This window comes from Homo sapiens, chromosome 4 (genome assembly GCF_000001405.40).
Source record: "Homo sapiens chromosome 4, GRCh38.p14 Primary Assembly".
NCBI classification, from domain to species: domain Eukaryota; kingdom Metazoa; phylum Chordata; class Mammalia; order Primates; family Hominidae; genus Homo; species Homo sapiens.
In genome coordinates this window covers 159,546,750-159,563,798 of record NC_000004.12, presented here as the reverse complement: position 1 = coordinate 159,563,798, position 17,049 = coordinate 159,546,750, and the positions used below count along the sequence as shown (strand labels likewise).

At 39.1% G+C, this 17,049-nt stretch overlaps 1 long non-coding RNA gene across 2 annotated transcripts in view; it reads right to left on the bottom strand.

The window, feature by feature from the left end:
• Window positions 1-17,049, bottom strand: part of LOC107986324 (uncharacterized) — a 487,144-nt gene that overhangs the window by 463,668 nt on the left and 6,427 nt on the right. Inside the window, exon 2 of one of the 2 annotated variants that reach the window (XR_001741912.2) lies at window positions 15,296-15,365. The exons of the other annotated variant lie outside the window; for it this stretch is intronic. This is a non-coding gene — a long non-coding RNA (uncharacterized LOC107986324). The remainder of the gene's footprint in view (window positions 1-15,295; window positions 15,366-17,049) is intronic. 2 annotated transcript variants of the gene reach the window in all.

The window sequence follows — 17,049 nt, the reverse complement described above, 5'->3', positions numbered from 1 at the left end:
ATAAATCATTTCATGGAGCAACGAATTATCAATATCAAAAAAAGAGTGCCTAGAGATACTCATAATCCCCATATATATTTATTTAGTGACTTCCTTTCAGCCAAACATTAAGACATTTCACTGTATTATCTTTTGGCTGCCTTGCTTTCTACTCTATGACCTAAACTCCTGAGGCTAGAGTTCAGGCTTGCCCTGGGAAAGTTGAAATAATATGTTCTGACCAAAATTTACTGACACTTGATTGCCATGATAAGCAATTCGTTCTTCTATGAACATAAAGATATCTTGTTCTGAAACCATATAAAGAAACTGTAATCATGGTGACAAACCAGGAAGTTTAGACACAGTCATACCTGAGCATGATTCTTGACCTGCCAAGCCTGACACCTCACACACTTTGAACCTCTCTAACTTCAATTTCTTTTCTGTAAAGGGATTAAAACTGCAGTTTCCCCTCAATTTGTTTGTATGAAGATGAACTAGAAAAAAAGACCTGGCACATGGAATAAACCCAATATTACAATTATTAGATAGAGTCTCTATAATTCCAAGAGCACCCAATACATACTACTCCCAGGCAGAAATAGGCAAATTATTATAGTCAGGCTTGACCTACATGGCTGTAGCTATAGAGATATTTTTAAGGAGGGGCAGCATTAAAATGTCTGCATAACACATCTACTCAATAATTTGCAAGAAAAGCAGTGGAATCATGAATAAAAACATTTATTCTGAAGTGAGGTCAAAAATTGTCTGCTGATCTGTACCCTACCTGAGCTATCTCAGAGTCAATACAAATTAGAAAGAAAAAGCAATTCTAATTGACAACTGATGTAAAAATATATCTCAAACTATAATCCTATAGTTTTAAGTAAAGAGTTTTAACTTTGTCCTTCTCATGGAAGACATTGTCAGCCATTATTCCCCCTCTGCACATCCTCTTCCCAAATATTCCAAACACTAGAATTCCAAATGAAAGAAGTGATAAAGTATTTCTTCAGGCAAGATGTCTCTGAATTACAGTGAGGTGGAAAGAGAAAAGATGCAGGTATGAGTTGTTATCTTCAAAATAAGAAACAGTTTTGAAACACATTTTTAGTTCAGATTTAAGATTCTGTCCCAGAAACTTTATTTTTTTCCTGTAGCGATGATATTCTATAGCTGAATTGTCATAAGCAAGAAAGGAAGGTTGAAAAGCATCCAAACAGAAATTGCTTACAAATGCTTGAAATACTGCATGAAATCCCTATTTAATCTCCCAAAACAGATTTTAAGAATCAGTGTCTTAGCCATTTTCCACAGCTGTTCAAAAAGCCCCACAGCTTACAGTGCTCTGTCAGGCAGAATTGAATTAGTTGTCACCTCCTAAGAAAAGCAGAGGGTTTGGGTGATGTAGGTCAGAAAACAACTCTTGTATAAACTACTTAGTGCTTATTTGCTGGATTCAATGGATGTTCTTGAGTTAGACTTGGTAAATTTGTATTTGTTTGATTTAGTAGTGCTATGGATGGAATGTTTGTGTCCCCTCCCCTATGCAATTCATTGCAATTCTGTTGTTGGTAAGACACCTGGACTATGACAGTTTGTTATGGCAACTCCAACAAACTAAGACAATGAATACAGGTTCATTTTCAAGGTAAAAAAAGTGTTAAATTAGTGGACACTTTTACATGAATAGCCTGGTGGTCTACTGCTCATTAGTGTGCACAAAATGAAGATCTCCATACCAAATGCGATAGTTAATTTTAGGTATCAACTTGACTGGAATAAAGGATACCTAGAGAACTGGTATAAGGGTATCTTTAGAGGAAATTGGCATGTGTGTCAGTGGACTGGTCAGAGAACTGGTAAAGCATTATTTCTGGGTGTCTCTGTAGGGGTATCTTTAGAAGAAACTGGCATGTGTGTCAATGGAGAAGATCCTTTGTCAATGAGGGCAGGCACCATCCAATTGTCTGTGGCCCCAAATAGAAAAAAAAGGCAGAGGAAAGACAATTTTTTTATCTTGTCCTTGCTGCTGGAACTGGGACACTCTTCTTTTGCCCTGGGACATCAGAACTCTAGGCTTTCCAGCCTTTAGATTCTGAGACTTAAACCAGAGGTCCTCGGTTTCTCAGGCCTTCAGCCTCAGTCTCAAAGTTACACCATCAGCTTCTATCATCCTGAGGCTTTTTGACTTCAACTGAGTCATGCTACCAATATCTTAGGGTCTCTGTATTAGCTCATTTTTATACTGCTATGAAGAAATACCCAAGACTGGGTAATTTATAAAGAAAAAGGTTTAATGGACTCACAGCTCCTCCCTGCTAGTAAGGCCTCACAATCATGGCAGAAGGCAAAACAGGAACAAAGGCACATCTTACATGGTGGCAGGCAAGAGAACGTGTCCAGGGAAACTGCCCTTTATAAAACCATTATATCTCATGAGACCTATTCACTATCACAAAAACAGCATAAGAAAAACCCACCCCTATGATTTGATTACGTCCCACCATGACCCTCCCAAGACATGTGGGGATTATGGGAACTACAATTCAAGATGAGATTTGGGTAGGGACACAAAGCCTAACCATATCAGTCTCCAACTTATAGATGGCCTGTCATGGGACTTCTCAGCCTCCATACTCACATGAGCCAATTATCCTGATATATTTTCCTTATTTCTCCAAATATATATTCCAAATATATATAAATATATAAAAATAATATATATAATTATATATATATATAAAATATATATATTTTATTGGTAGAAACTAAATGCTTGACCATGGGTCACCAAGTTGCAATGCACAGCAGCAATGCATTATCAAATGGAAGTGTTATACACATGATCAGGCCCAAGCAGCTCATGAAGGCACAAATAAGTTATATGAAGAAGTGGCCCAAATGCTCATGGTTTCTCCTCCTGCTACACTACCTTCTGTCTCTCAGGATGGACCTATGGCCTCATGGGGAGTATTTATGATTAGCTGACAGAAGAAGAGAAGACTAGGTCCCTGGTTTGCAGATGGTTCTGTATGAGATAAAGACATCATCCCAAAGAGGACAGCTGCAGCACTGCAGCCCCTTTCTGGGACATCCCTGAAGGACAGTGGTGAAGTGAATCTTTTCAGTAGGCAGAACTTAAGGCAACGTACCAGTTTGTGCACTTTTTTTGGAAGAAAAAGTGGCCAGACATGAGATTCCATACTCTTTCATGGATTGTAACCAAAGGTTTGGTCGGATGGTCAGGATCATGAAACTGCCATTACAAAATTATAACTGAGATGGTGAAAGAGATCAATTTGGAGACCAAACCAACTCCTTATTGCTTCTAACCTCTAAGCTATCTTTGTTCATTCCTGTGGGTAGGCTGAACTAACTTTGGGAGAAACTTAGTTTATAAGTTAGCTTTGAAACAAAGACAATTAACAGCCCTTTCCCAAAACAAACCCCTTCCTACCTGGGGACTAGACTGCTTTTGCAGGACTAACAAATTAGCCAAGGATTAGAAATTATGGCTTACGAGTCATGTAGCTGGGGACTGCAGGATTCTAAACCTCCCCACATTGCTCTTGGGGATAACATTACCATTGTAAAAGCTAAGATCAGTGCTTGAGATATTTTGCAGACTCTGCACTTGATGGATCAGCTGGCACCACCCAGATCAATAAACTGGCTCATCTGATCTTGTAGCCCCCACCCAGCAACTGACTCAGCACAAAAGGACATCTTTGACTCCCCATGATTTCATCTCTGGCCCAACCAATCAGCACTCCTGACTCACTGGCACCCCCATCAACCAAATTATTCTTAAAAACTCTGATCCTCGATGCTCAGGGAGATTGATTTGAATAATTATAAACTCTGGTCTCCCACACAGCCAGCTCAGCATGAATTACTCTTTCCCTATTGCAATTCCCCTGTCTTGGTAAATCGGCTCTGTCTAGGCATCTGGCAAGGTGAACTTATTGGGCAGTTACAATCTTTAAAAAAACATGATTGGAAAATTGGAAGCAAAGAAATTTGGGTAAAAGGTATGTGGATAGACCCCTCTGAAGTGCAAATGCTATGAAGATATTTATGTTCCATGTGAATGCTCCCCAAAGGGTAACTTCATAAAAGGAATACTTTAATACTCAAGTGAATAGGATGACCCCCTTCTGTGGATATCAGTCAGTCTTTTTCCCCAGCCACCCTTGCCATCATCCAATGAGCTCATGAAAAAAGGGGCCATGGTAGCAGGGATGGAGGTCAGACATTGGCTCAGAAACATGGACTTCCACTTACCAAGGCTGACTTGGTTACAACCACAGCTGAGTCCCCAGTCTGCCAGCAGCAGAGACTAACTCTAAGCCCCCTACATGGTACCGTTCCACAAGGTAATCAGCCAGCTACCTGGCCACCGGTTAATTACATTTTCCCCACCCATCATAGAATGGGCAGGATTTTGTCCCCATCAGGATCAATATTTACTCCAGGTATGAATTTGTCTCCCTGCAGGAAATGCTTCTGCCAAAACTACCATCTATAGACTGACAGAATTCCTTAACTGCCATCATGGTACTCCACACAGCATTGCTTCTGACCAAGAACTCACTTCACAGCCAAAAAAGTTTAACAATGGGCTCATACTCATGGAATTCACTAATCTTTTCATCTTTTCCATTATCTGGAAGCAGTTGGCTTGACATAATGGTGAAATGTCCTTTTAAAGACACAGTTACAATGCTAGCTAGGTGACAATACTTTGCAGGACTGGAGCAAAGTTCTCCAGTAAGCTGTATATGCTATGAATTAGCATACAAAATATGGTGCTGTTTTTCCTATACCCAGGATTCACAGGTCCAGGAATCAACAAGTAGATTGGCATCTACTTGGGAGTGGCCACTACTTGGGAGATGCCACTACTTGGGAGTGGCATCATTCACAATTTCCAATTGGAACCCAGTAGCAAAATGTTTCCTTCCCTGTTCCCATGACTTTATGCACTACTTCCCTAGGGGTCTTAGTTCCAGACAGACACAAAAATAATTCCATTGAACAGGAAGTTAAGACTGCCACCCAGCCACCCTGGGATCCTCATTCCCTAAGTCAACAAGCTAAGAAAGAGTTACATTGTTGGTCAGGGTGATTGAGCCAGGAGACTGGGGGGAAATTGGACTACTACTCCACAATGAATGTAAAAAAAATAGTAGGTTTGGAATGCAGGAGATCCCTTAGGACATCTCTCAGTATTATCATGCCCTGTGATGAGGGTCAAAGAGAAATTACAACAACTTAATCCAGGCAGGACTACCAATTGCCCAGACCCTTCAGGAATGAAGGTTTGGGACACTCCACCAGGTAAAGAATCACTACAAGCTGAGGTGCTTTCTGAAGGCAAAAAAAAAATACAGAATGGGGAGAAGAAGGTAGTTACTATAAACCAAAAATAAAACTCTAAGCCCCTCAACTGACTGGATGGACCTCTCCTCTCAGCCAAGGGGATTTCAAAGAAACCTGATAAAACTAGTTCAGAGCATGATGGGAAGAGGCGTTCAGACATGCCTCATTCTGCCCTCCTCCCTTTGGAATTCATGTACAATTGACCAGCATTAACATAAAAACAGAGATCTTAAAACTGACAAAACAGACTATCTGGAGCAATAAGATACCAAATTCCAACCTGACTCTTGTATGGCATCACATGATAAACAGCAGGCCCTACAAGAAACCAAAGTATTTTACCCAAAAATATATTTCTTTGACATATTTTGAAATGGTCCTCCAAAGCTGTCTCTTGTGGGGAAAATCTACATTCTGTAAAGAATCCCCACTCCTTTCCAAGTATTTACCTGATGCAGGAGAGATTTAACTAAGAGTCTGGCACTTTTTAAGGTCTTATAAGAGATATTTGTCATCTTTTCTCTCTGAAGACTGCTACCTGGAGGCTTCATCTTCCTAACAAGAACCTTGGCTTTCACAAACCCCCTTATCTTAACCCCAAGCATTTCTTTTTGCTGACTTCAAGTTTTTAGGCAAAATCTAACTCTTTCAACCAACTGCCAATCAGGAAATCTTTGAGTCCACCTGTAACCCCTTTCAAGATGTCCCACCTTTCCAGGCCACCAAAGTAAATCTTACATTTATTGATTTATGTTTTACCTGTAACTTCTGTCTCCCTAAAATGTATAAAATCAAGCTGTAACCCAACCACCTTAGGCACAAGTTCTCAGGGACTCAGGGACAAGGAGTGGAATTATAATGGTTAATTTTAGGTGTAAATTTGACCGGATTAAGAATGATGTGGAGAACTGGTAAAGCATCATTTCTGGGTATGTCTGTGAGGGTGTTTCCAGAGGAGATTGGCATGTGAATTGGTAGACTGAGGAAAAAAAAAAAAAAACACCCTCAACATGTGTGGGCACCAACCAATCAGCTGCAGGCACAAATAGAACAAAGGCAGAGGAAAGGCAAATTTGCTTTTCCTTCTTTCCTGCAGATAGAACACCCTTCTTCTCCTTCATCTTACATCTAAGATGTAAGCCTTCATCTTAGATGTTAGAACTCAGAAACTCCAGCCTTTGGACTCCAGGACTTAAACCAGAGGCCCCGGGTCTCAGGCTTTCAGCCTCGGATTGAGAATTACACTATCAGTTTCCTTTATTCTGAGGCTTTTGGATTTGGACTGGGACATACTACTGGTATCTCAGGGTCTCCAGCTTATAGACAAACTGTTATGGAACATCTCAGCTTCCATAATCACATGAGCTAATTACCCTAGTAAATCTCCTCTTATGTATCTACATACCTATACCTAGTTCTGTCTCTCAGGAGAACCGAGATCACCGAGAGAGATCTTTGGATACTGGAATGTCCCTGAAGGTAAGGGAATGAGTGAGAGATCAACTATCTCTACTATTACATTAAAAAAAAGACACTAGTCTTCTAAGGATCATCATTAATCTCTACTCTCACTAAATTTTTTTTTTTCCAATTTCACTCTGGAAGTCCTAAAAAGCTTCTAAGAACCATCAAGTTTAATCTCTTTTACTGCAACTTCTTTCAGTTAACTCTTCCACTCAATATTTTCTTAATTTCCCTATTCATTCTTCTTATGCCTATCAAGATTCTTTTTCTCTAAAGGAGCTCTTCTCATTAAACATCTTCCCTCTCCTTTCTCTAAGAACAGTCTTCTAGTTGCTACATTATTTTTAAACCATAAATCACTCAACCATTAGACATATGTCTTAAAATAATTTATTGATGTTTTAGTCTATGCAAGGTGCTCTTGAAAGATAAACACAGGAATGAAATAATGTTCCTGCCCAAAGAAGACAACCCAGTGGAAAGCATGATGTGATAAATGCCATTCTGTGCCATGAACGTTATACTTCGGAATCACAATATAAACATGCTGATACAATTGTCAAAATGGGCTCTTTTCTCCTTTTTAAATTTCTTGGCTATTATACTAAAGACTCAGCAAATCTCAGTTCTGAAAAGAAAACCTTTTTACAGCTCTTTTAAAATGTGAAAAGATAAAAACAATGTTTTAATATCCCTAACTGACAAACATGAATTTACTCAAAAGGAGGAAGGGAGGAAGGAAGGAAGGGGGAAAGAAGGAATGAAGGAGGGAAAGAAGGAAGGAAGAAAGGGAGGTATGGAGGAAGGAAAGAAGGAAGGAAAGAAGGGAGGAAGGAAGGAAGGGAGGAAACACTTCTAACTACCATGTCCCCAGGGATCTGTCATGTGTCACAATTGGCTTACATTCTGTAATGACTGGGGTAACCCTTTAATTGAGTGCTGACACTTATATGTCATCAAATGACATCTTCTGCAGGCACCTTTAGAGCATTTTCATATACTTCCTGTACTCATCTGATGGCCAGAATTATTAAAATAGTCTTTTTACTGAGCAGACTTCTCTGTAATTTGAACATGTCAACTCCTTACAGCAGTGGCTAAAGGCTCACATATCACTTAGCATGCTGGAGATAAGGGCAAGGGCTTTTTCATACATTTACTTTTTTCATTTTATCTATGCACTATCTTTTTACAAATTGAAGACTAGAGTATAAATTTCTGATTCACATTCCGCTTTCAAAACTGAAAGGCTGATATGATGGTGGGTGAAAATATTTCCCTCAGGACTTCAAGCCACAGAGCCATGGCATATTCCCAGATAATGAGGTCTCTAGGTAAGTATAGTAGCAGACAAAATAAATGCATCTTACATAGCATGTCTGGAAGAAATAACTGAGCCCTTGAATTTTCCAAGTGTCTTCAGTAAAGTCCTTGAAAGTTAACCCATGGAGATAATTTCTCACTTAGCCCAAAATGTTAAAATGAGTCACAATGCTTTCATGGAAGCTAGGTTCATAAGTTGTCTGGTATGGAACTTTTGCCTATGACAGGAATAGAATAAATATTTACTGAGAAATTCAGCCATTGTTTCAGCAAAGTTTACAACTTTGATATTTTTGTCAGTGGTCTGGAGCTTAGAAAGTATTTTCCCATGGATGTTGTAGAAAGAGGAGACCATAAAGAATATTACCTTAAAATAAAGATGTCTCCACTTTTAGAAAAATATAACAGGACAACTCATTTTAAATTATGTTAAAAGAATATCAACATAACCTGTTGTATTATTTTGTCAAATATTTGGCTCTGATATATACACTGTTAAATTCCAATAAGGATTTAAGACAGCTTACACAGATATCTTAAGTTTAACAAGAAATTAAAAAAAAAACACACTAGTCACATTCTGGTAAAGGTATGGGGAAATGGAACATCTCATGCATTTTAAAAGGGAATATAAAATATTCAACATTTCTGGAGGGATATTTGTACCAACATTTAAAATGTGCATACCATTTGATCCCACAGTTCCATTTCTCATCATTTATCTTAAAGAAATAAGAGTGTGGCCGGGCACGGTGGCTCACACCTGTAATCCCAGCCCTTTGGGAAGCCAAGGCGGATGGATCACGAGGTCAGGAGATCAAGACCATATTGGCCAACACGGTGAAACCCCATCTCTACTAAAAATATAAAAAATTAGCCAGGCGTGGTGGCAGGTGCCTGTAGTCCCAGCTACTCGGAAGGCTGAGGCAGGAGAATGGCGTGAACCCAGGAGGCAGAGCTTGCAGTGAGCCCAGATCAAGCCACTGCACTCCAGCCTGGGCGACAGAGTGAGACTCTGTCTCAAAAAAAACAAAAAAAAGGAAAGAAAGAAATAAGAGTGTGAGTAAACAAATATGATACATAAATACATTTGTCGAATGTTGCATAATAAATATTGAAAATGAGAATGTCTAATAAGAGATTGAGTGAATAACGATGTATCCATATAACGAAATACTATTTAGCTTTTAAAGATACCCACAATATTTTGTTGAGTTAATAAAGCAGATTATGGAATACAATATGTGGTATAGCTACGTTTATGTAGAATGCATTCATTATAGGTTTATACTTGCAGAAATGTCTTGAAAGATATCAAATGAAATTCCTAACAGCAATTATTTTTGAGGAGTGAAATGAGGGACTGTTTGTCACATATTACTTTAAAATAAAGATGTCTCCACTTTTAGAAAAATGTAACAGGGCAACTCATTTTAAATTACATTTAAAGAATATTTCATGACGTTGGAAAATGCTCACAATTTTTAAATTAGAAAAAGCAGGTTCCTAGCCAGTGTAGACAACATGACTGTGATTTTCTAAATGTAGTCATACATAGAAAAAGTTTGTGCCAAAACGTTAGCAGTGCCATTTTCACAGGGAAAATTGATCCAAGCTGCAGCTTGAGAGAATAGACTAGAAATTCACTTGCCTCCATGAAGCCCTGGTAGTGAGTTACAAGGGGTTTTCTTGTCTCACCTGTGTACAAGTCACAGCAGCAGGAATGAAATTGCTGCTGCTGCAAGAACTGCCCAGAGAACAGAGAAGAGAGTCCTGTGCAGTCTTAGCGGTATCTAGAAAGGTAGAAAACCTGGGGGAAGAGCATTTGCAGTAAGCAGAGTAGTGAGGTTAAGTTCAAGATCAGACTGACAAGAAAAGTCACACATATTGAGAGTTTACTTACATATTAGGCATTCTGCTAAGAGCTTCAGATAGAAATTATCTGTTTTATCCTCAAAACAACCTCAGGAATAGAATATTCTTATATCCATTTTTGAGATAAAGAAGTCAATACTCAAGAAGCCAATACTAGTAAGTAACTAGTGGGTGGCAAAGCCCAGAACAGAATATACACCTGCCTGATTCCCAAGACCACAGCTTTTTAACCATTTTATGCATGTGACAGTGTAAATCGTGTAGGCATAGCCGCAATACCTTTTTATTCTGATTTTAAGATGTTAGGCAAATCAATGCAGTCTGCTGCTTTGTGTTGGCTCAGACCAATTTCACCTGGTTGCCATCTGGACACCTACACAGGGTGCCGTGAAAAAATATAATGCACTACATAAAACTCAAGGCATCTCTCTAAAGTGCGCAGTGCAGTTTTCAACCCAGAAATCAGAGAGAGAAAATGACTGTCCCCAAGATTGCTATTCTGAAAGAGATCATTGCTGTTCATCTCACTCTGCTCACAAAGTGCTTTGCTACAGTGACACTTACACCCTTGGAGGTCAACCCACATTTCAGTGACAGCTACCAGTTCAGCTGTGTCAATTCCACCTGACTCTGCTTGCTTGCAGGGTTTCCAGAGCACACAGCTTACCAAGCCATTATTATTCTGTGCCTGTGCCCAGAGAGCTCTACAAAGGGTGCATTTTAATCACCCTGGAAGAGATAAATAAATAAACAAATAGCTCATAGGTAATATGTAATGTAATAGAGAAAAAACAACCATGACTTGTTGCCCTCACAGTCCACACCCTCATGCCTCTGGTGATTACTTGCAGAATTCTATGGCGCAGAAAAGCTGAATTTTATTTTTAAGCTTATTCCTTAAAACTGTTAATTGATGGCTCTTTCCACATCTTACCTCAAATGTCCTTGCTCATCTCCACTCTAAGGTAAGCATATTTCACTGGGAAACTGCATCTATGCATGGATAACAATGCACTCAACACCTCCTAAATTCACACTCAGTCTATACAGGAAATCCAGTCAAGTGTTTAGGAATACCAAAGCATCTTTTCCTCTCTTTACTGCACAAAAAAAGGAAAAACTTAGAGATCTAGATATTATTCTCAGGTCACAGGGTTGATCTATTTTCCGACTTGCAGCTAGATCTGTGACGTTCTAATTTTGGTAATGTTTCTGGCAAAGTTGGTTGAAATGTTTCAGGAGAAAAGGGATCTTAAAGCATAGTTGTTGCTTGATGGCAAAACCAAAGTGCTTTGAAACACTCTCAACAGTTCACAGTCTGGGTTCCATGGACCCCCAGCTTCAGAATATTCATGAATTCCTTAAACTATACATAAAATTTTGCCCAAATGTGCATTTTCTACCACTTATGAAATTTTCAAAGTGTCTGCAAACCAAAACATTACTAGGAATCACTGAGTTATTTAGAAAGTCCGGGGGGAAATATCTGTAAAACTAGTGTTATTTACACAAATGTTTATCTCAAGAAAACACACTCATACTTATTCGATTATTGTTCATTCATTCATTCACATCAGGCCAATCTCTATCCCATTATAAGCTCTACCCATTTCTACTTCTAACTTCTTTTGCTGATCTCTCTCCCCATTCATATGCTACGTTTCCTTGTAAGCTAAAGTACTTCCTTGGTAAGTCTTTCAGTGACTAGGCATTAACCCAGATTGATTTTTTTCTTTATTTCTGAATTGGTATTGTACTTAGAGTCTGGGGAAATCAGAGAGAGAGAGAGTTTTCCATAAATGTTTTACATATGGACATGTCTTCAAATATATTATGACATATACCACATACCTTAGCCTTATCTATTTTTTATTGTCAAAGGGCCAATAGTTCATCAAAGCCAGGGATAAGTCTTACTTTTTTGTGTAGCCCTCACTGTGACTAAAACTATGTTGCATGGTAATCTGTCACTATGACTATCAGTAACCCATGGAAATGTCTGTAGTTTAAGCATTCCTCACGGTAATTGAATTATCTATAAAGGAAATTTTTTCCTAAAGTTAAAATGATACATCAGAGGGAACATGAATTAGAGATGAATAAAAATATAAAATATTCCTCCCAGTCAAATTATAAACTCCATATCTAATCCATACCACTTATTAGTAAATCCTACTAGGATTTCTGGCAAATATGTGCATATTTTCTTTCCAGAGTCTGACCTGTTTTCACTATTCCACTGATAGTATCCTGGTCTTGTGATTATTGCAACAGCTTCCTGACTAGTCTTTGTATTTCTGCCTCTGCTCCCTAGAGTCTCTTTTTCATGAAGCAATAAGATTGAGTCTTTTAAAATGTGAGTCAGATCATGACTCTCCCCTTCTTCAAATTTGCCCACGACCTTCATCTCAAGAATAAAAACCAAAGTCTTTAAAATGGCTCCCAAGACCCTGGTTATTCAGCTACCCACACTCCACTTTGGTCACAACTGCTGTAATTTCAACTCTCCTCCTGGCTCACTCCATTTGAGCCAACACTTTCAATTCCTACACCAATTTCTAGCTGTTCTTTGAACCCATCAAACATATTCCTATCTCAAAGTGTTTGCTATTCCCTCCACATAGTACATTCCCCTCAGACCTCTTCTCACTACCTCCTGATCATGAGGCCTTCCCAGACCACTCTCTGAAAACAACACACACAGAGACATAGGCACAAAGTACTCCTTTTCTCCTCACCCTGCATGTCTATTTTTCTCCGCTTAACACATTTATCTCCATTTAACACATTATATATTAGTTTATTATCTTTCTTCCCCAAGCAGAGGTCAAGTGTTTTTGCCTTGTTCAATACTATAACCTCACAGTGGCTAGGACATTGTCAAATACATATAAAGGGCTCACTATATTTTTGTTGAATGATTGATTCATAGTAGTAAAGTTTCTTTGGAAGAACAATAACCATTTGAAAATACTTTTTAAAATAAAATTATTTAAAATTTATCTGCAAAAAAAAATTAGGAGGCTGCTATCATGTTAATATTTCCCCCAAAGTTCATGTGTTGGAAACTTAATCCCCAATGCAACAGTGTTGAGAGGTCCAACCTTTAAGAGATGGTTAAGTCATAAGGGCTCTGCCTTCATGAATGGATGAATATCATTATTTCAGGAGTGTGTTAGTTATCACAGAGTGGGCTTGTTATAAAAGTGAGTTTGGCCCTCTCTTGCTCTCTTGCTCTTTCACATTTTCTTGCCCTTTCACTTTCTTCCTTGGGATGAAGCAGCAGGAGACCCTCACCAGATGTGAGCCCCTCAACCTTGGACTTCATAGCCTCTAGAACTGTAAAAAATAAATGTCTTTTCTTTATAAACTTCCCAGTCTGCGGTATTCTGTTATAGCAACACAAAATGGGCTAAGACAGAGGAAAAACACCAAAATGTCCACAATATGATCAGTGATTGGTCATTTCCGAAATTTCTTTAATGGATACATTAAATAAAAACAAAGGAAGAGGGCCGGGCACGGTGGCTCACGCCTGTAATACCAACACTTTGGCAGGCCAAGGAGGGCAGATCACAAGGCCAAGAGATCGAGACCATCCTGGCTAACACGGTGAAACCCCGTCTCTACTAAAAATACAAAAACAAAATTAGCCAGGTGTGGTGGCAGGCACCTGTAGTCCCAACTACTTGGGAGGCTGAGGTGGGAGAATGGCGTGAACCCGGGAGGCGGAGCTTGCAGTGAGCCGAGATTGTGCCACTGCACTCTATCCAGCCTGGGCAACAGAGCGAGACTCTGTCTCAAAAGAAAAAAAGAAAAAAAAAAAAAAAGGAGGAGGAGGACAAAAAAAGAAGAAGAAAAGAGTTTAAGTAATAGTGAGAATGTTTGAGATCTTGTCACAAAGAAAAAATAGTAGCTGTGAGACTTAAACAGTGAGACAAATCATCTGGTAATTTTAGGACAACTAAAAATTTTCTCTGGAGACTAATCTCTTGGAGGCAGTAGGGTAATGGTATTATATATGTTATCCAACATTATCAAAAAATATCATTACCTCTAATTATTGATTGTCTGCCATTATCATCTCTCTAGAAGACACATTTGGTTCTCCTCCCCAGTCCTGTATACCTCCTTACATTTTCATTCACACTGGCTATGTCCACCAGCATGTTTTCACTTTCACCAGCCACTAACCATATATCTTTGTCAGAGGACTAACCTCAGGATCCCAATACTCTTTGCCTCGGCACACAAGGAGTGGCCTGGGAAATTATTTCCCAGCAGTGACAACTGTTGTCATCAATGACTCCATTTGAGTTGTATAAACACTCCAACTTACTGCCCATGATCATGACAGCTATGAGGTGTGGCTACACTGTCTCTTGATCTTCCTTGCAGGAATGAGTCAAAGTTCTTCATCACAGGACTCACCCTTGCTTGGCTTCTTTTATTTCTTGCCTCACTTTTCCACTCCCTTACGGTCTTCTTGAGAATACTCCATTAATCACTTTTACACAAACCCTTAACTCAGAATTTGCTACTGGAGAACGCAACCTAAGAAACTTAGTAGCAGAAATGATGCTGAAAGCTGATACTCAGTATAGGATTCAGTGTTTGGATGACTCACTGGCTAGAAGGCAACAGGAACCTCATTGTTGGTGGTAAGTAAAGTGACAAAACCCCAGGACCATTGCTTAAACTTTCATGCGTGGTGAATTGGGATGGAACACAAGAGGAAAAAGACATACTAGATTGTTTAATATCTAGTATTTGAGATATATGGTGATTATGGTAGCTATAAGATCTGTGGGATTTGTGGTCATTATTAAGTGCCATCAATGGACTGAAGAAATAAAATTCCAAGTTTACGTCAGCAAATTACCAATTCCGAACATAATGTGAAAGCTGTAAGTTCTCCATGGCAGGATTTAAAGAGAATATCTTCATCTGTAGCTGCATATAAGGTGGTCCTGAAGACCAGAACCAAAACTTAAGAGTGAGAGTAGCAAACCTGCAAAGAAGGCTGATTAATATTTTGGCAAGTTTCTTATGCTAAAGGTAGGATCCTGATAGAGAAGGAGTGGGATCCTGAGATGGAATGGAAATTCCTGGAATACACACAAAATTATTAAACTCCCAATGCCCCTAAACTCCTGAGCCTGAAAAAGTACCCCAGTTCTACCTGCAGAACATCAGCTTCCTCTTGCCTAAACACTGTGCAGAAACCTCAACTGTGATCAATGCTCTGCAAGATTACACTCACCTTTTAAGATGGTTCCACACCTCCCTTCCTATTATTCTTGCATGATCTGATTGGGAGAGTACTCCATCTGCTAAAGGAGAAAAGGAATTATTCATTGAGGGAGATCCAGGATCTGTCTCATAGGTGCTGGCAAGAACTGAAAGAACATGCCTAGAAGTGGATCCTGAAGGTGCTGAACTGGCAAAGGTGGACTATAAGCTGGATAAGGGAGAATTTTTTAATCTGGGGGCATGCTCCCATAACCCAACACCCTAGCAGGGAAATCCACAGTCAATCCTAATAAATTTTGCTTGGTTTATCCCCAGAAACTTGGAAAAAAACAATGAGTCATATTAATTGAGGTTAAAATTCCTGGGCAGAGTATTGAGAAAGAGATTAGCAGGCTCAGAGAGGTGAGCAAGATAGTTACATAAGACCTAAGAATCCACCAAATAACCATGTTCCCTGCATAGTCCTGGAAGACACTCCTTTCACTAACTGTTAGGGAATGCATTAGTGAGGAGGACACTGGCATCATCAAAAAGCTCATTTGTTACTGTTTCTAGTAGGCTGGGATTGATAGTAGGAGATGCTGTAATGGAACTGACTTTCTTGTATCAGCGGGGAAGGATCTGAAATAGCAGAGGCCAGATGGCAGCATTTAATCACAGGGAGAAGGTAGACAGAGTTACTTGCAGGCATCAAAGTTGCAGTTATCTATGGTGATATCTAATAAACCATGGTGTTTCTAAAACAAGGCACATAGGCAGACAACAAGGGCATTGCCTGATATAGATAATTGCATTTTTTTAAATGAAAAGCAGATGCACAGAAGACTGATGTCAGCTGTACTAATGGATAAATCACTTTCCATTCCCTAATTTCCAAGCTTGAGCCATTTCTCAGGTATAGTGACCATTGTTTAAAGAAAAGCCAAATCTACCTGGGAAAGGATCCTATAGTGTCACAGAAAGGATATACAATATTAACTCTCCTGGTCTTCCTCAAATAAATCTATGGACATTTACCCAAGTAACTTTACACTGAGAAACAGGGGAAACCCACATTTTTCCTATACTTTTAGTGTAGAAGTTCAAGCTAACACTGATACCAGGAGTTTACAAAGTATCACCATCTTACCCTTAAAACGGTGGAGGCCTAAGGAGACCAGATAATAAATGGAGTCCTGACTCGAGTCTATCTCACAGTGTGTCCATAGCCCTCCAGATCCAGCCAATCACATTTCCATGTTCCTTGTATACATACACAGGATAAGTATATAAAGCAGCTGACAGAACCCTTAACTGATTCTTTGACCTATGGTAATGACATTCATAGTAGAAAAAATCAAGTGCAAGACCTTGTAACTGTGTCCAACAACAATAAATCAGAAATGCCACCACAGTCCCGTTGGAATGGTAGAAATAAGCAATTCACTCAAAGACTTAGAGTATGCAGAGGCAGTAATCATTATACCCTCTGGATTATATTGCTAGACAGCAGACTTCTGTGTGTACTTCTATCCATCCAATTGAATGAAACCTTCTGATCCTTCTTATTGATGATTGCTGAAAAAATTCATTTGTCTTGGAGAAAACACCATTACTGGTATAGCTAATGCAATTAGAACTACAACTTAGTTGTAGTCATCTGCCATAACTAATTGTATTACTCAGGGACCAGACTAGTAAGGATCTGTATGAATGCCTGTGTAGTGTCAAAAGCTTGGCTAATTGGTCAGAGACTTGGAAGCAGCAAGACTGGAAAACTAGTGA